This window comes from Homo sapiens, chromosome 12 (genome assembly GCF_000001405.40).
Source record: "Homo sapiens chromosome 12, GRCh38.p14 Primary Assembly".
Classification (NCBI taxonomy): Eukaryota; Metazoa; Chordata; class Mammalia; order Primates; family Hominidae; genus Homo; species Homo sapiens.
The window spans coordinates 16371579-16393336 of NC_000012.12; the positions used below are offsets into that span (position 1 = coordinate 16371579).

Genomic DNA, 21758 nt, shown 5'->3' on the forward strand with positions numbered 1-21758 from the left:
ATTTGATGACTAGAAACACTAACCTTGAACTCCAATTAAGCAAAATGTTAATCCCCTGAATAAAAATTCCATTCTTCTCATTAGTAGATCTTTGTTACAAAAAAAGGTACTTCATCATTATTGTTATCTTTTGAAGATCATCAGCTAAAAAATATGGAAATTTGTTTTCCTTCCTGTTTTATAAGTACCTATGTAACATACTTGATTTTGCCTCTTAGCTCACAAAGTCTAAAATATTTACTCTGGCATAAAAACAGACACATAGATCAATGGGACAGAATAGAGAACCCAGAAATAAATCCATGAATTTAGTCAACTCATTTTTAACAAAGGTACCAAGAACATGCATTAGGGAAAGAACAGTCTCTTCAATAAATGCTACTGGGAAAATTGGATCTCCACGTGCAGAAAAAGGAAACTAGACCTCTATCTCTTGCCATATACAAAAATCAAACCAAAATGGATTAAAAGCTTAAATCTAAGACCTGAGACTATGAAATTATAAGAAGAAAACATTAAGGAAACACTCCAGGATTTTGGTCTGGCAAAGATTTCTTGACTAAAGCCTCAAAAACACAGGCGACCAAAGCAGAAATGGACAAATGGTATCACATCAAGTTAAAAAGCTTCTCCACAGCCGAGGAAACAATCAGCAAAGAGACAACCTACAAAATGGGAGAGAAAATATTTGCAAATATCCATATGATAAGAGATTAATAACAAGAACATATAAGAAGCTCAAATAACTCAATAGCCAAAAGTCAAGTAATCCACTTAAAAATGGGTAAAAGATCTGAATAGACGTTCTCAAAAGAATACATACAAATGGCCAACTAGTATATGAAAAAACACACAACAGCACTAATCATCAGGAAAATACAAATCAAAACCACAATGTGGTATCATCTCACTCCAGTTAAAATGGCTTTTACCCAAGACAGAGAATAACAGATTCTAGTGAGAATGTGGCAAGAGGGGAGCCCTCTTACACTGTTGGTGGGGATGTAAATTAGTGCAGCCACTTGTGGAAAACAGTATGAAGATTTCTCAAAGAATTAAAAATAGAATTACCATATGATTCAGCAATCTCACTGCTGGGTGTATATTCGAAAGAACGGAAATCAGTATATTAAAGAGATATCTGTACTCTCACGTGTATTACAGCACTATTACCAATAGCCAAGATCAGCCTAAGTGCCCATCAACAGGTGGATGGATAAAGAAGATGGGATGTGTGTGTGTATAATATAATATTCCATTATATATTATATGTTACATATATTATGTATTAGATTATATATTACATATTATGTAGTATATTATATATTACATATTTTATATATTTTATATTGTATATTTTATATTATATATTACATATTACATATTATATATTACATATTATATAATATAGTATATATTATATACTATATTATCATATACTATACATACTATGTGTTACATAATGGAATATTATACAAAACAAAATATTATTTGGCCATAAAAAAAATTCTGTCATTTGAAACAACATGGATAGAACTGGAGGCTTTTATGTTAGTGAAATAATCCAAGCACAGAAAGACAAATATCTCATGTTCTCACTCATATGTGGGAGCTTAAAAAGATAACCTCACGGAGATAGGGAGTAAAATGGTGGTTACTAGAGAGGTTGGGAAGGATAGTAGGGATGTGGGGGATAAAGAGGGGTTGAGGAATGAGTTTGAGAATATGGTTGGATGGAAGGAATCGATCTAGTGTTTGGCAGCACAATAAGGTGACTATAGTTAATAATAATTTATTGTATATTTCAAAATAACTAGAAGAATGCAATTGGAGTGTTCCTAACACAAAGAAATGATAAATACTTGAGGTGATGAATACCCCAATTAACTTGATTAGATTATAATATGATTGTATCAAGATATTATATGTATCCCGTGTGATAACTGTTATGTATCCGTATCCATAAGAATAAAAATAAATAAAAATTTTTAAGAAGAAAAATAAAATAAAGTATTTACTCTGGCCTTTTACAAAGTTTGTCAACTCCTGATCTATACAATTGAATAAAAAGCATATAAATGGATACTGAAATTTCTCTCATTATTTTTCACTGACTAACTGGTGCCAGAATTTAATCAAAGTGACTAAGAACACCACTTTATTTCAACATTGGTCCTCTTATATTTGCCCCAAATTATCCATTTTTGTTTCAAATTATTACAATTATTACATTCTATATGGCTTGGTATATATGGGATACTCAGTAATTTTTCAAGAATTTTCTCAGTTGTTAAAGGATTGAAATATTGTTAATTGTCTTCTATGAAAACATAGCTTCTTATCAGCATGTTTTGAGCTTGTATGTGCTTTCCCTAGTAGCTGAATTTTTTTCCATGAGATCAGTTCTCTTGACATTACTGTGATGGAAATTGAGGTTTTAAAGTCCCTTTGGTTGGAAAAGTGTATTTTTGTTTGGAGTAGATATGCAGATATCATGATACATCCAGTGTAACACCATTAAATCACTCACTTCTCAGAAACGGTAGCTAAAACCATTAATGTTTAATCACTTCATAGCCAATGCCAAGTAGTTTACATTAACAGGGAGCAGAATATGCTATGGCCAAATGAAACTAAATGGAAAACTCAGAAACAGCTGATGATGTCTAACATCTTTGTTTTTTCCTGGGACATTTATGCTCACGGTGGTGATTTTATATTGCACACATATAATATAGTCATGGTTATTGCTTTTAAAATTGCTCCTAGTTTCTTTGATGGATTTAAATTTATTGCTGTTTTATGGAGAGATAGCATATTATTCCACCAGGAGCATCACAGTGTCTCATTGCTCTGCCACACAAACAAAATTTAAACCCACCCAAATCCAAAAATCACCCCAAATCCCTTTATCCAGAATAAAAACAATAGCCATTATGTTTAGGATACTGATTAGCATTTTAAACTATATTTTAAAATATGAAGAAGAAAAATGTCATAGATTACTATTTTTAGGAACCTACCCCAAAGTTACACTAGATAAATGTATGAAAGTACTTGAAAACCAGGTTATTTATTGAAGCACCATTTTTAATAGCAAGCGAATGCAAATAATTCAAATATTCACTAACAGAGACTGGTTAAATAAACTATGAAGATTAACACAATAGATTATTATGCAGCTGTAAAAAGAATTAGAAAAATCTCTATATGTTACTATGGTTACTGTGGAATAAACTTTAGGATATATATATACTCTTGTATGTGTGTGAGTGTGTATTTGTGCTTATGTTTTATTTAATTTAGTATTGGTTTGTTTTAGAGACAAGTCTCACTCTGTTGCCCATGCTGAAGTGCAGTGGGACAATCACAGCTCACTGTAAGCTCAAACTCCTGGGCTCAAGCGATCCTCCCTCTGCCGCCTCTTGAGTAGCTTAGACAACAGGCATGCACCACCATGCCTGGATAATTTTTAAATTTTTTGTAGAGATAGGGTCTTGCTATGTTACCCAGTCTGGTCTCAAAATCTTGGCTTCAAGTGTTCCTCCTGCCTTGGCCTCCCAAAGTGCCGGGATTGAAGGAGTGAGCCACTGCACCCTGACTGTTCTTATGTTTTAAAATCAATGAAAAGACAGAACATAAAGTTTGGAAAAAATAGTTAACTATAGAGGGAAGGAGGCAATAGAATAAAATGAAAAGAGATAGAAACTATTTTTAAAAGTATCTTGTTTTAAAGATGTGACTTTGAAAACATAAATATTTTACATAATGATTAAATTAATTAAACACAAAGAGCAGTTCCTAAACATTGAAAGTAAAAAGAAACAAAGAAACCTCAATGCGTATCCTATTGATGGCATAACCTTCCACAAAGGAACTATCCGAAGTGGTCTTAAAATGTAACAATTTGATTAAACATAAATGGTAGGACAACAGAATATGAAAACAATCTTTTCAGTAATAGTATTATTATTGGTAGTAGTGTTGATATTATTCTGAGACTGCAATCTGCATAGTGTGGCATGAAACAAATGAGTAATTATATCAGCATCACTGAAAACTAGGATTTGGGGCATGGCAGAAAGAAGATACACATACAAAATCAAATACGTAGAAACTCTGTACTACTGAATTTGAATTAGAAGTATTAGTTTTAACTGATGATGTGTTTTATCTAAAACAAAACAAAGATAATTATTTTTATCTACGTCTACTGAAAGGAATTAGCAAGCAGATGCAGGCAATGTGAGATGAACCTGGAATATGACTTACCATATTAGAAAATAATGATGCTATTCAATACAACTAGCATTGTGTCAAAAGGACTCTAGACTAAATGAATACGCTCCCATGCCAATAAATTTCAAGATGTGAAAGATGTTTAAATCTATGAGCTCATAAGATATATACACACACAACACCCACACACCTATATGTACACACACAGATTTTATACATATATATAAATGTATTTTATGTGTTCACGTGTGTGTATATAGTCTTTGAAGGATATTAAAAATCTTATTTTTTTTTAATTGTTTAGAATCAAACAAACCCTGAGCATTTATCTTGCCTCTTCTATATAAAGTTTAACTCGGCATAACCAATTGCTGATGAAGAAGAAATGTTTCCTTGTAGAAGCAAACCAGTGAATAATTGAAGAAAAAATTTATCTTTTCAACATCTAATGAGTTAATGGATTCAAGCAAAGATTATCCACGGCTGTTAACAACACAAAAAGACAATCGGAAATTAGCTATTACTGCGGGAAGTACCCAATACCATCTATGAAACTGTGTGGACAAAAACACTGACAAAAATCTCCACGAATCTCTAATTTTGAATACAAATTTAAAGAAAATGCAAAGGATTAAAATAGACCATGATGAAGTCAGAAAAATTCAGACAGAGAAAAATGCTCCAGGACCAGAAACCCATTTCTTCCGCAAAAGCTTCCAGGTAGAGATTGACTGACCGAGAGAACAGAGACATAGAGAGAACCTAGAGATTAAAAGAAACTTGAGCGATTTGTCAGCATTCAGTTGCAACGTATGGATGTGATTTGAATTCTAATTTAAAAACCAAAGTAGAAAGTGGTAAACAATTGGGGAAATGTGAACAATGATAGAATATTTAATATTAATGAAATATGTTAAATATTTTCAGATATGATAATGGCATTGAGTATGTAAAAAAGAGCCTGTTTTTAAAGAAATACCTCTGAAATACAGATGATATAATATCATCTGTATATTAGATGATATTATATATATCAGTATCATCAGAATAAAGTAAGGTTAGCATGAATTGTTAATTGTTGACACTGTGCAATAGGTACGTGGATAATTACTATACTGTTCTCATTCCTTTTATTTATGTTTGAAATGTTCTAAAATTAAAAGTTAAAGCATAGAGTGTAAAGTTGAGCAAATTCCTCCAAGACCTAAATATAGCTTATCAAAACTTACATTAATTAGATGCTGACTGTTGAGCTAATACTTTTTTTTAATGATGTGTGCTTCAGTTTATTGCACTTTTCAAATACTCCAGTTTTTTGTGTGCGTGTGTTTTTTAAATTTTATTATTATTAAAGTTTTAGGGTACATGTGCACAACGTGCAGGTTTGTTACATATGTATACATGTGCCATGTTGGTGTGCTGCACCCATTAACTCGTCATTTAGCACTAGGTATATCTCCTAGTGCTATCCCTCCCCCCTCCCCCCACCCCGCAACGGTCCCCAGTGTGTGATGTTCCCCTTCCTGTGTCCATGTGTTCTCCTTGTTCAATTCCCACCTATGAGTGAGAACATATGGTGTTTCGTTTTTTGTCCTTGCGATAGTTTGCTGAGAATGATGGTTTCCAGTTTCATCCATGTCCCTACAAAGGACATGAACTCATCATTTTTTATGGCTGCATAGTATTCCACGGTGTATATGTGCCACATTTTCTTAATCCAGTCTATCGTTGTTGGACATTTAGGTTGGTTCCAAGTCTTTGCTTTGTGAATAGTGCTGCTATATACATACGTGTGCATGTGTCTTTATAGCAGCATGATTTATAATCCTTTGGGTATATACCCAGTAATGGGATGGCTGGGTCAAATGGCATTTCTAGTTCTAGATCCCTGAGGAATCACCACACCAACTTCCACAGTGGTTGAACTAGTTTACAGTCCCACTAACAGTGTAAAAGTGTTCCTATTTCTCCACATCCTCTCCAGCACCTGTTGTTTCCTGACTTTCTAATGATCGCCATTCTAACTGGTGTGAGATGGTATCTCATTGTGGTTTTGATTTGCATTTCTCTGATGGCCAGTGATGATGAGCATTTTTTCATGTGTTTTTTGGCTGCATAAATGTCTTCTTTTGAGAAGTGTCTGTTCATATCCTTTGCCCACTTTTTGATGGGGTTGTTTGTTTTTTTCTTGTAAATTTGTTTGAGTTCATTGTAGATTCTGGATATTAGCCCTTTGTCAGATGAGTAGGTTGCAAAAATTTTCTGCCATTCTGTAGGTTGCCTGTTCACTCTGATGGTATTTTCTTTTGCTGTGCAGAAGCTCTTTCATTTAATTAGATCCCATTTGTCAATTTTGGCTTTTGTTGCCATTGCTTTTTGTGTTTTAGACATGAAGTCCTTGCCCATGCCTATGTCCTGAATGGTATTGCCTAGGTTTTCTTCCAGGGTTTTTATGGTTTTAGGTCTAACATGTAAGTCTTTAATCCATCTTGAATTAATTTTTGTATAAGGTGTAAGGAAGGGATCCAGTTTCAGCTTTCTACATATGGCTAGCCAGTTTTCCCAGCACCATTTATTAAATAGGGAATCCTTTCCCAATTTCTTGTTTTTGTCAGGTTTGTCAAAGATCAGATAGTTGTAGATATGTGGCATTATTTCTGAGGGCTCTGTTCTGTTCCATTGGTCTATATTTCTGTTTTGGTACCAGTACCATGCTGTTTTGGTTACTGTAGCCTTGTAGTATAGTTTGAAGTCAGGTAGCATGATGCCTCCAGCTTTGTTCTTTTGGCTTAGGATTGACTTGGCGATGCGGGCTCTTTTTTGGTTCCATATGAACTTTAAAGTAGTTTTTTCCAATTCTGTGAAGAAAGGCATTGGTAGCTTGATGGGGATGGCATTGAATCTATAAATTACCTTGGGCAGTATGGCCATTTTCACGATATTGATTCTTCCTACCCATGAGCATGGAATGTTCTTCCATTTGTTTGTCTCCTCTTTTATTTCATTGAGCAGTGGTTTGTAGTTCTCCTTGAAGAGGTCCTTCACATCCCTTGTAAGTTGGATTCCTAGGTGTTTTATTCTCTTTGAAGCAATTGTGAATGGGAGTTCACTCATGATTTGGCTCTCTGTTTGTCTGTTATTCGTGTATAAGAATGCTTGTGATTTTTGCACATTGATTTTGTATCCTGAGACTTTGCTGAAGTTGCTTATCAGCTTAAGGAAATTTTGGGCTGAGGCAATGGGGTTTTCTAGATATACAATCATGTCATCTGCAAACAGGGACAATTTGACTTCCTCTTTTCCTAATTGAATACCCTTTATTTCCTTTTCCTGCCTGATTGTCCTGGCCAGAACTTCCAACACTATGTTGAATAGGAGTGGTGAGAGAAGTCATCCTTGTCTTGTGCCAGTTTTCAAAGGGAATGCTTCCAGTTTTTGTCCATTCAGTATGATATTCGCTGTGGGTTTGTCATAGATAGCTCTTATTATTTTGAGATACATCCCATCAATACCTAATTTACTGAGAGTTTTTAGCATGAAGAGTTGTCGAATTTTGTCAAAGGCCTTTTCTACATCTATTGAGAAAATCATGTGGTTTTTGTCTTTGGTTCTGTTTATATGCTGGATTACATTTATTGATTTGCATATATTGAACCAGCCTTGCATCCCAGGGATGAAGCCCACTTGATCATGGTGGATAAGTTTTTGATGTGCTGCTGGATTCTGTTTGCCAGTATTTTATTGAGGATTTTTGCATCAATGTTCACCAAGGATACTGGTCTAAAATTCTCTTTTTTGGTTGTGTCTCTGCCTGGCTTTGGTATCAGGATGATGCTGGCCTCATAAAATGAGTTAGGGAGGATTCCCTCTTTTGCTATTGATTGGAATAGTTTCAGAAGGAATGGTACCAGCTCCTCTTTGTATCTCTGGTAGAATTCGGCTGTGGATCCATCTGGTCCTGGACTGTTTTTGGCTGGTAAGCTATTGATTATTGCCTCAATTTCAGAGCCTGTTATTGGTCTGTTCAGAGATTCAACTTCTTCCTGGTTTAGTCTTGGGAGGATGTATGTGTCAAGGAATTTATCCATTTCTTCTAGATTGTCTAGTTTATTTGCATAGAGGTGTTTGTAGTATTCTCTGATGGTAGTTTGTATTTCTGTGGGATCGGTGGTGATATCCCCTTTATCATTTTTTATTGCATCTATTTGATTCTTTTTTCTTCTTTATTAGTCTTGCTAGCGGTCTATCAATTTTGTTGATCTTTTCAAAAAACCAGCTCCTGGATTCATTAATTTTTGAAGGGTTTTTTGTGTCTCTATTTCCTTCAGTTCTGCTCTGATCTTAGTTATTTCTTGCCTTCTGCTAGCTTTTGAATGTGTTTGCTCTTGCTTTTCTAGTTCTTTTAATTGTGATGTTAGGGTGTCAATTTTAGGTCTTTCCTGCTTTCTCTTGTGGGCATTTAGTGCTATAAATTTCCCTCTACACACTGCTTTGAATGTGTGCCAGAGATTCTGGTATGTTGTGTGTTTGTTCTCATTGGTTTCAAAGAACATCTTTATTTCTGCCTTCATTTCATTATTTACCCAGTAGTCATTCAGGAGCAGGTTGTTCAGTTTCCATGTGGTTGAGCGGTTTTGAGTGAGTTTTTTTAATCCTGAGTTCTAGTTTGATTGCACTGGGGTCTGAGAGACAGTTTGTTATAATTTCTGTTCTTTTACATTTGCTGAGGGGTGCTTTACTTCCAACTATGTGGTCGATTTTGGAGTAGGTGTGGTATGGTGCTGAAAAGAATGTATATTCTGTTGATTTGGGGTGGAGAGTTCTGTAGATGTCTATTAGGTCTGCTTGGTGCAGAGCTGAGTTCAATTCCTGGGTATCCTTGTTAACTTTCTGTCTTGTTGATCTGTCTAATGTTGACAGTAGGGTGTTAAAGTCTCCCATTATTATTGTGTGGGAGTCTAAGTCTCTTTGTAGGTCACTGATGACTTGCTTTATGAATCTGGGTGCTCCTGTATTGGGTGCATATATATTTAGGATAGTTAGCTCTTCTTGTTGAATTGATCCCTTTACCATTATGTAGTGGCCTTCTTTGTCTCTTTTGATCTTTGTTGGTTTAAAGTCTGTTTTATCTGAGACTAGGATTGCAATCCCTGCCTTTTTTCTTTTCCATTCGCTTGGTAGCTCTTCCTCCATCCCTTTATTTTGAGCCTATGTGTGTCTCTGCATGTGAGATGCACCTGAATACAGCACACTGATGTGTCTTGACTCTTTATCCAATTTGCCGGTCTGTGTCTTTTAATTGGAGCATTTAGCCCATTTACATTTAAAGTTAATATTGTTATGTGTGAATTTTTTCCTGTCATTATGATGTTAGCTGGTTATTTTGCTCGTTAGTTGATGCAGTTTCTTCCTAGCATTGACAGTCTTTACAATTTGGCATGTTTTTGCAGTGGCTGGTACCGGTTCTTCCTTTCCATATTTAGTGCTTCCTTCAGGAGCTCTTTCAGGGCAGGCCTGGTGGTGACAAAATCTCTCAGCATTTGCTTGTCTGTAAAGTATTTTATTTCTCTTTCACTTATGAAGCTTAGTTTGGCTGGATATGAAATTCTGGGTTGAAAATTCTTTTCTTTAAGAATGTTGAATATTGGTCCCCACTCTCTTCTGGCTTGTAGAGTTTCTGCCGAGAGATCAGCTATTAGTCTGATGGGCTTCCCTTTGTGGGTAACCCGACCTTTCTCTCTGGCTGCTCTTAACATTTTTTCCTTCATTTCAACTTTGGTGAATCTCACAATTATGTGTCTTGGGGTTGCTCTCGAGGAGTATCTTTGTGGCATTCTCTGTATTTCCTGAATTTGAATGTTGGCCTGCCTTGCTAGATTGGGGAAGTTCTCCTGGATAATATCCTGCAGAGTGTTTTCCACCTTGGTTCCATTCTCCCCATCACTTTCAGGTACACCAATCAGATGTAGATTTGGTCTTTTCACATAGTCCCATATTTCTTGGAGGCTTTGTTCATTTCTTTTTATTCTTTTTTCTCTAAACTTCTCTTCTCGCTTCGTTTCATTCATTTCATCTTCCATCACTGATACCCTTTCTTCCAGTTGATCGCATCAGCTACTGAGGCTTCTGCATTCTTCACATAGCTCTCGTGCCTTGGTTTTCAGCTCCATCAGGTCCTTTAAGTACTTCTCTGCATTGGTTATTCTAGTTATCCATTCATCTAATTTTTTTTTCAAAGCTTTTAACTTCTTTGCCATTGGTTCGAATTTCCTCCTGTAGCTCGGAGTAGTTTGATCATCTGAAGCCTTCTTCTCTCAACTCATCAAAGTCATTCTCTGTCCCGCTTTGTTCCGTTGCTGGTGAGGAGCTGCATTCCTTTTGAGGAGGAGAGGCGCTCTGATTTTTAGAGTTTCTAGTTTTTCTGCTCTGTTTTTTTCCCATCTTTGTGGTTTTATCTACCTTTGGTCTTTGATGATGGTGACATACAGATGGGTTTTTGGTATGGATGTCCTTTCTGTTTGTTAGTTTTCCTTCTAACAGACAGGACCCTCAGCTGCAGGTCTGTTGGAGTTTGCTGGAGGTCCACTCCAGACCCTGTTTGCCTGGGTATCAGCAGCAGTGGCTGTAGAACAGTGTGTATTGGTGAACCGCAAATGCTGCTGCCTGATCGTTCCTCTGGAGGTTTTGTCTCAGAGGAGTACCCGGCCGTGTGAGGTGTCAGTCCGCCCCTACTGGGGGGGTGCCTCCCAGTTAGGCTATTCGGGGATCAGGGACCCACTTGAGGAGGCAGTCTGCCCGTTCTCAGATCTCAAGCTGTGTGCTGGGAGAACCACTACTCTCTTCAAAGCTGTCAGACAGGGACTTTTAAGTCTGCAGAGGTTACTGCGGTCTTTTTGTTTGTCTGTGCCCTGCCCGCAGAAGTGGAGCCTACAGAGGCAGGCAGGCCTCCTTGAGCTGTGGTGGGCTCCACCCAGTTCCAGCTTCCCAGCCGCTTTGTTTACCTAATCAAACAACTAACTCAGCAATGGTGGGCGCCCCTCCCCCAGCCTCGCTGCTGCCTTGCAGTTTGATCTCGGACTGCTGTGCTAGCAATGAGCGAGACTCCGTGGGCATGGGACCCTCCGAGCCAGGTGCGAGATATAATCTCCTGGTGTGCCTTGTTTTAAGCCCATTGGAAAAGCACAGTATTAGAGTGGGAGAGACCTGATTTTCCAGGTGCCGTCTCTCACCCCTTTCTTTGACTAGGAAAGGGAATTCCCTGACCCCTTGCACTTCCTGGGTGAGGCGATGCCTCGCCTTGCTTTGGCTCGTGCACGGTGCACTGCACCCACTGACCTGCGCCTACTGTCTGGCACTCCCCAGCGAGATGAACCTGGTACCTCAGTTGGAAATGCAGAAATCACCCGTTTTCTGCCTCACTCACGCTGGGAGCTGTAGACCGGAGCTGTTCCTATTCGGCCATCTTGGCTTCTCTCTGAGCTAATACTTTTAAAATATTTTGCACTCCACAGAGGAAGGTTTTATATGTAAGTCTGAGTTTTGTTTTTCTGAGTTGTTTTCAGTTGGTCCATGTGATTACATTTTTATACATGGTAAAAATTTATATATTTTTTTCCAAGTCTTTTTCTTTTTCTTTTCTTTTCTTTTTTCTTTTTATTTTTGAGACGGAGTTTTGTTCTTGTTGTCCAGGATGGAGTGCAATGGCATGATCTCAGCTCACCGCAACCTCTGCCTCCCGGATTCAAGTGATTCTCCTGCCTCAGCCTCTTGAGTAGCTGGGATTACAGGTATGTGCCACTACACCTGGTTAATTTTGTATTTTTAGTAGAGATGGGGTTTCTCAATGCTGGTCAGGCTGGTCTCAAACTTCTGACCTCAGGTGATCCATCCGCCTTGGCCTCCCAAAGTGCTGGGATTACAGGCGTGAGCCACCATACCCGGACCTGAGTTTCTTTCTTAAAGTTTGTGTTAAGATGTTGCCATGTGGGGACAATATCATAATATAACATACTATTCTGTGTGTGTCTGCACATGTATAATACAGATATTATTTTAAAATATGATTACAAATGGCATAATCTCTTTCTTAAACCATACAGGTTTTTGTTGCATTTTTTTTCATTAACACTATGCCCTGAGACTTTATTACCAAAGGGAAGAGGAGAGGAGGCATTTTCTATTCAAGAAGCCCACAAATAGGAATTAACACAGGTGCAACAGGGGGAATTCTTCATTGAAAAGGGACAAAAAGTAGAAATTCCTCTGGTACAAAAAGAGGGGGTTCAGAGAGAATGGATCTTGGGTTGGGATACTGCTGGGGTCCCCTGAGGGAACTTACCCATCTCTGGCCTTTGTGAGAAGATAGGCACCCTATTGAAGGATATGCCCCATGTAATTGATTTAAATGTGCCCTCCTGCCCCCCAAAATGTATCCAACTTCTAATCCTTGGAACCTATAAATGTGACCTTTTGTGGAAAAAAGGGTTTGGGCAGACATAATTAAGTTAAGGTTATCTCGATGAGATTATTCTGGATTAGATTGGGCTCTAAATCCAATGGCAAATAATTAGAAGAGAAGGGGAAACAGATGCAGAGACACAGAGAGAAGTCCACGTGAGGACAGATGCAGAGAGTGGGGTTACACAGCCCCAAGCCAAGGAATGCCAAGGGTTGCAAGCAACCAGAAGGTAGGAGAGAGGCAAGGAACAGACGCCCTGGAGAATCCAGACAGAACCAACCCTGCCAACAACTTGATTTCAGGTTTCTGACCTCCTGAACTGGGAGATAATAAATTTATGTTTTAAGCCGCTAAGTTTGTGGTAATTTGGTATGAATTGCTCTAGAAAACCAATATATCTCACTTATTATACCAAACTCTGGGAAGAATCCCAATCACAGGGCACCTAAGTGCAATAGGGGATGCCCAAAAGCATAGTAATATTGGTCAGGTAGTTTGCAGGGGTGAGTTCCAGAGAGAAAACCCCTAAGTATCTCTTGACGTACTTTTGTACGCAGCTTCCTGGAGTTCTGACATGCTCCTTGTGGGATGCAGAAGGCAGCTGATGGCTGCGAAGCAGTAGGCCTATCACAGGGATCCCTGTAGTGAGGGATAACTCTAGCTGGGGTTACAGCAGAGACTATAGGTGGAGTTGTAGAGTAACGGTAGAGGCCAAAGAAGGAACAGGAGTTAGGTGGGAAAGGGGAAATAGTATCAGGTGCTAGATATGCTGAGAAAACAGCCCATGGATTTCACCCACCGTGGACTTGCTAGAATGGATTTAGATAGGACAGATCAGAAGAAACTATTTGCAACTCAGAGAAGCAGAAGCCAGGGAAGAAATATAATTTGGAACTAAAGATCGCCTCCCCAGTATAAAGTTCTTATTGTGCCCAAATTTTATTTTGGAGAGGAGGAGAATCTTGAAAAGAGAAATTTTAATAAGAAATAGTTTGAACTGCAATATGAATTCTGCTGCAATGGACCATTGTAATCAGTGTGAATGGGGCAAGTCTAAAATTTCTTTTGTCATTAGGTGGAGGGAGGTTGGAAGTGAAGGAAGAACTCTGAGGTTACATCAATCACATGATTTCTTTAAAACTACATTTGTGTGCATGAATTGTATATAATATTTGATCTTATTACACATAGAAATGGCAAAAATCAGTGGTTATATGCTTTCAATATTTTTCTCAAGTAAAATCCACTATAATTTTTACCGGCTAAATTTATACTTATTTTATTAACAATTTATTTGCACATCTGCCTGGGAAAAAGTCTGTTTCAAACAATGATAATCTGATGCAACTGTATCTCTTTTAGTTTCAGACCTACCATCAAAGCCCAGGAGAAGCCCGTCTCTTTTCAAAGGGCTTTCTTTTTTTTTTTTTTTTCCTCAATCTGGGTGGCTAACTTTGATTTGTCTTTGGCACGATACTGTGGAGCTCACAAGTAACTCTCATTAAGAGTTCTGCAAATGCTAATTGATAGATCAGCAAGTTTGGAGGGCTGCTTTTAATACATACAGTTTCTTTTGGAGTTTTGCGTCTTTTCTACCTCTTAAGAGTCAAGTCTATTTGACAGCCAACTAGAGAGTATTGAAGTAATTGCCCATAAAATGAGAGTCTCCTATCTACCCTCTTCTCAGCACACTTGCCTAAAGAATCTGCCTACTGCCTTCACTCTTTGCTTCATTTGGTCTTTCAGTGGCTCGTTAGGTGTGGGCTCCTTTTGGCCAGGGCTACCCAGCTCTATTTCAGTTCCCTGTATGCCTGTTTGCCTTCGGAGGCAGTGACAAATTTGCTAGGTTGCGAGGTTTGCACTGGTCAATAAACCAGTCCAAAGTATCCAAGCAGTTTGTGGTTTGGAAATTCTTGAGCTCTTTTGGAGAAGATCGGTGATTTCCCATTGCCACTAGATGTCCCTGTGTGACTTTTCTTTTGGACATCAGTGCTGTACACGCGGCAAGTTATTTCTACTCTGCTGGATAGAAGGAAAGTGCTCCGCAGGCTCTGAAGAAGCAGTTTATAGCGGCATGTCACCCAAGCTAGGACTCGGCACAACTTAGCCCTAGCACATGGATTTAGAGTGCAAGGGTATGGCAATGCCGAAAATTACTCAGACTGTGCAGAAATCAGGATTATCTCTATAGAGGTCCTGGGATCTTTCCAACTTGCATCATTAAACTTTTCCTGCCTCCCAGCCTACTCTCAATACTGAGACCGAAGCTTCTAAAACAATCTGTCATGAAGAATTACGAGCTAGCTTTTAAAAAATAGTTTTTACTTCTGATCTTTTGCAGGCCAATGCCTGATGTTACTGTATATGACCAGTATGCCGCTCACTGTGTGAGTTTGCGAACACCCAAACTGTGTACAGTAGGCCCCCTTTGTCTCAGTTTTCCTTTCTGCAATTTCAGTTACCTATGGTCACTTGCAGTTCAAAAATATTAAATGGAAATTTCCAGAAATAAGCAACTCGTAAGTTTTAAATTGTGTGCCACTCTAAGTAGAGTGATGAAATCTACTTCCAACTCCATCCGGCCTGGGATGTGAATTATCTTTTTATCAAGCGTCTCTGCACAATATACACTGTCCACCCTGTCAGTCACTTAGCAGCCAGCTTGGTGATCAGATCGATTGTAGTGGCATTGCAGTGTTTGTGTTCATGTATTTTACTTAATAATGGCCCCAAAGTCCAAGAGTAGTAATGCTGGCATATTATAATTGTTCTATTTTATTATTAGTTACTAGTTATTGCTGTTAAATCTTTTACTGTGCCTAATTTGTAAATTAAACTTTACAAACTTTATAATCTTTATTTTATTGTGCCTAATTTATAAATTAAACTTTATCATAGTGCATGACATACATGTATAAATGGGAAAAAAAACAGCACAGTCATGCATTGCATAATGACATTTTGGTCAATGATGGAGCATATATATGGCTGTGGACCCATAAGATAATAATACAGCTGGAAAATTTCTATCACCTAGTGATGTCATAGCTGTCCTAACATTATAGTGCAAAGCATTACTCCCCTCTTTATGTTGATGCTGGTGCACACCAACCTACTGGGTTGCAAGTCATAGAAAAGCGAACAAGTAATGTCCTAGGCCTTCGCATTCACTGCCCACTCACTCACTGACTCACCCACAGTGACTTCCAATCCTGCAAGCTCCATTCATGATAAATGCCCTATACAGGTATACCATTTTTTTTTTTTTTGAGATGGAGTCTCGCTCTGTTGCCCAGGCTGGAGTGCAGTGGGGCTATCTCGGCTCACTGCAAGCTCCGCCTCCCACGTTCACGCCATTCTCCTGCCTCAGCCTCCCGAGTAGCTGGGACTACAGGCGCCCACCACCACGCCTGGCTAATTTTTTGTATTTTTAGTAGAGACGGGTTTTCACCGTGTTAACCAGGATGGTCTCGATCTCCTGACCTCATGATCTGCCCGCCTTGGCCTCCTGAAGTGCTGGATTACAGGCGTGAGCCGCCGCACCCTGCTGTTTTCTACTGTATTTCACTGTACCTTTTCTATGTTTAGATACACAAATACTTACCATTGCACTACAATTTGTCTACAGTATTCAGTACAGTAACATGCTACGTAGATTTGTAGCCTAAGAGCAATAGTCTACACCATATAGCCTAGGTATGTGGTAGGCCATACCATCTAGGTTTGTGGAAGTACACACCATGATGTTTTCACAAAGATAAAATCACCTGCCAATCCATCCCTCAGAATGTATCTCTGTTGTTAAGCAATACATGACTGTATATAGACATATTAAGTTGGTGCAAAAGTAATTGCGGTTTTTGCCATAAAAGTGATGACAAAAACTGCAATTACTTTTGCACCAACCATGTTACTGTACTGAATACTGTAGGCAATTGTAACACAATGGTAAGTATTTGTGTACCTAAACATAGAAAAGGTATAGTGAAATACAGTAGAAAACATTAAAAATGGTATACTTGTATAGGGCATTTATCACAAATGGAGCTTGCAGGATTGGAAGTTGCTGTGGGTGTCAGTGAGTGAGTGGGGAGTGAACGTGGAGGCCTAGGATATTACTTGTTTGCTTTTCTATGACTTGCAACCCAGTGGGTTGGTTTACACCAGCATCGTCACGGAGCTGAAGGTGGCTCACACTAGCTGGCAGGGGCCAGTTGTTACCAGTAGGATTTGATACTATTGACAGTTTCAGGCATCAACTGGACTCTTGAAATATACACTTGCAGATAACTGGTGTCTACTGTATTCCCTGTTTATTAAAACCAGTTAATTAACTATATGCTTGGTTGTCACAGCAATATCAGCTGGCTATAAGTGTCCTTTTAATGCTTACTCTCAATTTCTGTATTTATTTTGTGACACACTGGAAACACTTAGTGGAACCCTTCAAGCGACACTGGCCTAGGCATTATCACAGGCTGAGTTCTACATCCTTAAATTAAAACTAATGGACCTCGAGGAACTGGAGAGGCTTAAGGCAGCTTTAGGAGACTTGAGTGGAGACTCTTGTAATGTGGCAGGAGCTGTACTCTGTCCTTCCAGAACTCCTGCTCTAGGCCAGGCCTGGACCTTCCACTGAGCAACTACACTGAATCTCAGATGAAGGCCACTTTAAAACAGAAAACCATGGATGATCCCAGGAAGCAACAGCAATAGAGAAGGAATGCTTCTTGAAGTTCAGCTTCTGAACCTTCTTGGGGAAATTAAGTTAATCTTGTAAAGTGCCACTTTGCGTATCTGAAGACAAATACAGGTGGCATAGGGATGGTAAATACCTTGCACTGGGATTCGTTTTAATAATTAGCCATAGTGACACCTAGGTGATAGATAATGTGATGGCTTACCCAGCAACCAGCTCCAATTACAGAAATAACAGAAGGAAATTTTAGCTTCACAAACTGAAAAGAAATAGTTTGTTTACTCGATGCATCAACAGTTTGTATCTCAACAGTCATTTATTGAGCCAGTTATTTGTAATGCAAGAGCACAACTTGCCTAAAAATAATGTTGAGAATAGTGGTTAAGTGTCCTGTTTTGCTTATAGAAGACCATTTAAACCAGACTGTAGTTGAACTAAAATAAATAAGGTCTCTTTTTGTCTTTTTTGTGATTCCATGGGTCGGGTCAAATTGACGGCACGGAACATTGCTTACTCTTGAAATTCCAAACTCTTGAAATTTCAATTTAAAATATTGGGTTTTCCCTGCCCTTCTTAGGATAGCCAGTAGAAAAATGGGGTTTCCCTGGATTTCCTTGGTCTGGTAGGTGCAGCAATATGACATGAGTACCTCATAGGAGGGACTACAGAGAAGCAAGGATTCCAGATGGAGGGAGAGTTTGGAATGTGAAAGAAGGGTGTTATTAGCTGATGCTGACTCATTGGGGTTTGAAGTATGAACACGTGTTTAGTGAGCAATATTGGAGTTTTCATAGTAAGAGCTTGCAGAGGTGGCTGGGAGTGAGGCATGAGATCTCTCGGTAGAGGCAAAATAGAGTGATGAGAGCCAGAAGCACTGGATCAGGTGCTCCCAAGGGGAAGTTGTAATGAAGAGTGAGGCAGGATTGCGTAAGTAGAAAAAGAGAAAAAGAGAGCAATGCTCTTGTGAAAAGGGAGTTGAAGTGCAATACAGACTGCAGCTCCATCCGTCAGAGGGTTGAAATTTCACACACGAAGGCTCATTTTGATATGTTCACATTTATGTGGCAAGCGCTCCAAAAGGGAGGCCCTAAATACATCTTGTCAGAATAACTCCAGCAAAGACTGACATTTACACATTTCTCTGGTTAGGAAATGTAATAGAGGCAGGGGCATATACAGGTTTTATGGGGCCTAAACCTTATGTAATTTGAGGGCACCTCAGGGGAAAAAAAAAAAGAACAATTTAAAATATTAAACTGGGTAGAGAATTTTTTAAAAAAATTGTCCACTTTAGAAAGCTAACACATGCTACAAATTATAGAAAAAAACAGTATTTGTTTAAACTCTAAACATATGCATATTTGCTATATAGGCAAACTCATGTCTTGGGGGTTTGTTGTCCAGATTATTTTGTCACCCAGGCACTAAGCCTAGTATCCAATAGTTATTCTTTTCTGCTCCTCTCCCTCCTGCCACCCTCCACCCTCAAGTAGGCCCCAGTGTCTGTCGTTCCCTTCTTTGTGTCCATGTGTTCTCATCATTTAGCTTCCACTTATAAGTGAGGATATGCAGTATTTGGTTTTCTGTTTCTGTGCTAGTTTGCTAAGAATAATAGCTTCCAGCTCCATCCATGTTCCAATAAAAGACACAATCTTGTTCTTATTCCTTTTTATGGCTACATAATGTACATCATTCCATGGTGTATATGTACACATTTTCTTTATCCAGTCTGTCATTGATGAGCATTTAGGTTGATTCCCTGTCATTGCTATTGTAAAGAGTGCTGCAATGAACATTCACATGTATGTCTTTATAGTAGAATTATTTGTATTGTTCTGGGTATAGACCCAGTAATAGGATTGCTGGGTCAAATGGTATTTCTGTTTTTAGCTCTTTGAGGAAGCGCCACACTTCTTTCCACAATGGTTGAATTTATTTACACTCCCACCAAGAGTGCATAAGTGTTCGCTTTTCTCCACAACCTCTCTAGCATCTTTTATTTTTTGACTTTTTAGTAATAGCCATTATGACAGGTGTGAGGTGAAATCTCATTGTGGTTTTGATTTGCATTTCTCTAATGATCAGTGATATTGAACTTTTTTCATATGCTTGTTGGCCAGATGTATGTCTTCTTTTGGAAAATGTCTATGTCCTTTGCCCACTTCTTTTTTTTTTTTTTCAATTTTACTTCAAGTTCTGGGATACATGTGCAGAACGAGCAGGTTTGTTATGTAGGTATACATGTACCACGGTGGTTTGCTGCAGCTATCAACCCATCATCTAGGTTTTAAGCCCCACATACATTATTTATTTGTCCTAATGCTCTCCCTCCCCTTTCCCTTTCCCCCCACCCCCCGACAGGCCCTGGTGTGTGATGTTCCCCTCCCTGTGTCCATGTGTTCTCATTGTTCAACTCCCACTTTTGAGTGAGAACATGCAGTGTTTGGTTTTCTGTTCCTGTGTTAGTTTGCTGAGAATGATGATTTCCAGCTTCACCCATGTTCCTGCAAAGGACTTGAACTCATTTTTTATGGCTGCATAGTATTCCATAGTGTATATGTGCCACATTTTCTTTATCCAGTGTATTATTGATGCCTTTGCCCACTTCTTAATGGGGTTGTCTGTTTTTCTCTTGTAAATTTAAGTTACTTATAGATGCTGGATATTAGACCTTTGTCAGATGCATAGTTTGCAAATATTTTCTCCCATTCTGCACATTGTCTGTTTACTCAGTTGATAGTTTATTTTGCTGTGCAGAAGCTCTTAAGTTTAATTAGATCCAATTTGTCAATTTTTGCTTTTGTTGCAATTGCTTTTGGCATCTTCATCATGAAATTTTTGCTCATTCCTGTGTCCAGAAAGGTATTGCCTAGGTTGTCTTCCAAAGTTCTCATAGTTTTGGGTTTTACATTTAAGTGTTTAATCCATCTTGAGTTGATTTTTGTATGTGGCATGAGGAAGGGGTCCAGTTTCAATCTTTTTTATATGGATAGCCAGTTATCTTAGCCCCATTTACCAAATAGGGAGTTATTTCCCATTGCTAGTTTTTGTCAGCTTTGTCAAAGACCAAATGGTTGTAGGTGTGTGGCCTTTTTTCTGGGCTCTCTATTCTGTTCCATTGGTCTATGTGTCTCTTTTTGTACCATTACCATGCTGTTTTGATTACTGTAGCCCTGTAATATCATTTGAAGTTGGGTGATGTGAAGCTTCCAGCTTTGAAGAGCAATATTTTTACTTGTCAATCTTATCTCTAGAATTCTTTTTTGCGTATTTGCATTGCGTCTTCTTTGATTGCCTCTTCACATGACGATGATTGTGTAATTTGATTTCCTATAGTAAGAACAAGATAATTCTTTCCACTAGCCTCTAGCATGGTTAATTTCATTGGCACTCTCAGAAAGTTTCGTTTTATTACTTTCTCAGTAATATCATGCAAACTTTTAGGACTGTTGACAAATTTAGAAAGATTTCTATCAAATTTCTTTATCTGTAAACTTTCTGGAAGAATGTTCCCCAGGCTAACTGGTAGTTCCATACATTTCAGTTTCATTTTTCTCCCAGTATGTACATAGTTTGAATGCCTGACACAATAATATATGTTCAAGTCATAATCTCAACTCCAGTCCTTCACTTTTGTTCCAGAAATAAGAAAAACAGATATTGCTTATAGTCTTATAGTCATTTTGGGATATGGCTTTATAGTCTTCTAGTCATTTTGGAATACGGCCAAGTTATTTTCCTGTCTCTATATCTCTGTATGTCTCTATATCTATCTAGATATATACAAAGATATATCTATCTGGATATATACAAAGATATATCTGTATACATATGATAGATATATAGATAGATTGAAATATACATTTTTGTATATATATAACTGTCTATATCTATTATATAATTACTTGTATCTGTATCTATCTAGAGGGACCTAGAGAGATAGTAGGTAGATAGGTATAGACATTTATCTATATCCCACTAAAACACCTTAGAAATGCACTCCCAGCTCAAGTTCCCCTTAACCATATATAGAAAATGCTCTTGGCCATTCTAATGTCACCCATCATGAGTTGAAGTTTTATAAGGGGGAAGTTAAAATGAGAATAGACAGTGGTCTTAACTCTTTCCTGTTTTTAGTTTTGTAAATTGTTTAGAGACATATGACCACATAAACACATTGCCAGAGCCCCTGCCAGGCCTTTGGAAGATGCCTGTGCAAATAAGGGGGCCCTGATATTTTTGCTTCCTTAGCTTCACAGTAAATCTGTGAATGGTGACAGTGGTAGGAGAGTTTTCCCCAAAAATGTCAAGAATAGAGAAACCTACCCTGTCATATGAAAGAGAAGCAGCTTTAGCTTCCTG

General features: G+C 38.3%; 1 protein-coding gene across 4 annotated transcripts in view, besides 2 other annotated features; it reads left to right on the forward strand.

The window, feature by feature from the left end:
- Nucleotides 1-21758, forward strand: part of MGST1 (microsomal glutathione S-transferase 1) — a 246217-nt gene that overhangs the window by 24464 nt on the left and 199995 nt on the right. For 2 of the 4 annotated variants that reach the window (NM_001414362.1, NM_001267598.2), the window contains one exon: nt 4544-5614. In NM_001414362.1, the coding sequence (NP_001401291.1) occupies nt 4544-4586 (43 nt within the window). In that variant the 3' untranslated portion in view covers nt 4587-5614. Of the gene's footprint in view, nt 1-4543; nt 5615-11928; nt 15548-21758 lie in introns of those variants that run through there. The other 2 variants (XM_047428856.1, XM_047428857.1) reach the window with 2 other exon arrangements.
- Nucleotides 10780-11373: an enhancer, noted in NCBI's record as "H3K27ac-H3K4me1 hESC enhancer chr12:16535292-16535885 (GRCh37/hg19 assembly coordinates)". NCBI's record gives its function as "activates a minimal SCP1, AML or CMV promoter by ChIP-STARR-seq in naive H9 embryonic stem cells {active_cell/tissue: H9 hESC(naive)}" and the evidence as "EXISTENCE:reporter gene assay evidence [ECO:0000049][PMID:30033119]".
- Nucleotides 11374-11966: an enhancer, noted in NCBI's record as "H3K27ac-H3K4me1 hESC enhancer chr12:16535886-16536478 (GRCh37/hg19 assembly coordinates)". NCBI's record gives its function as "activates a minimal SCP1, AML or CMV promoter by ChIP-STARR-seq in naive H9 embryonic stem cells {active_cell/tissue: H9 hESC(naive)}" and the evidence as "EXISTENCE:reporter gene assay evidence [ECO:0000049][PMID:30033119]".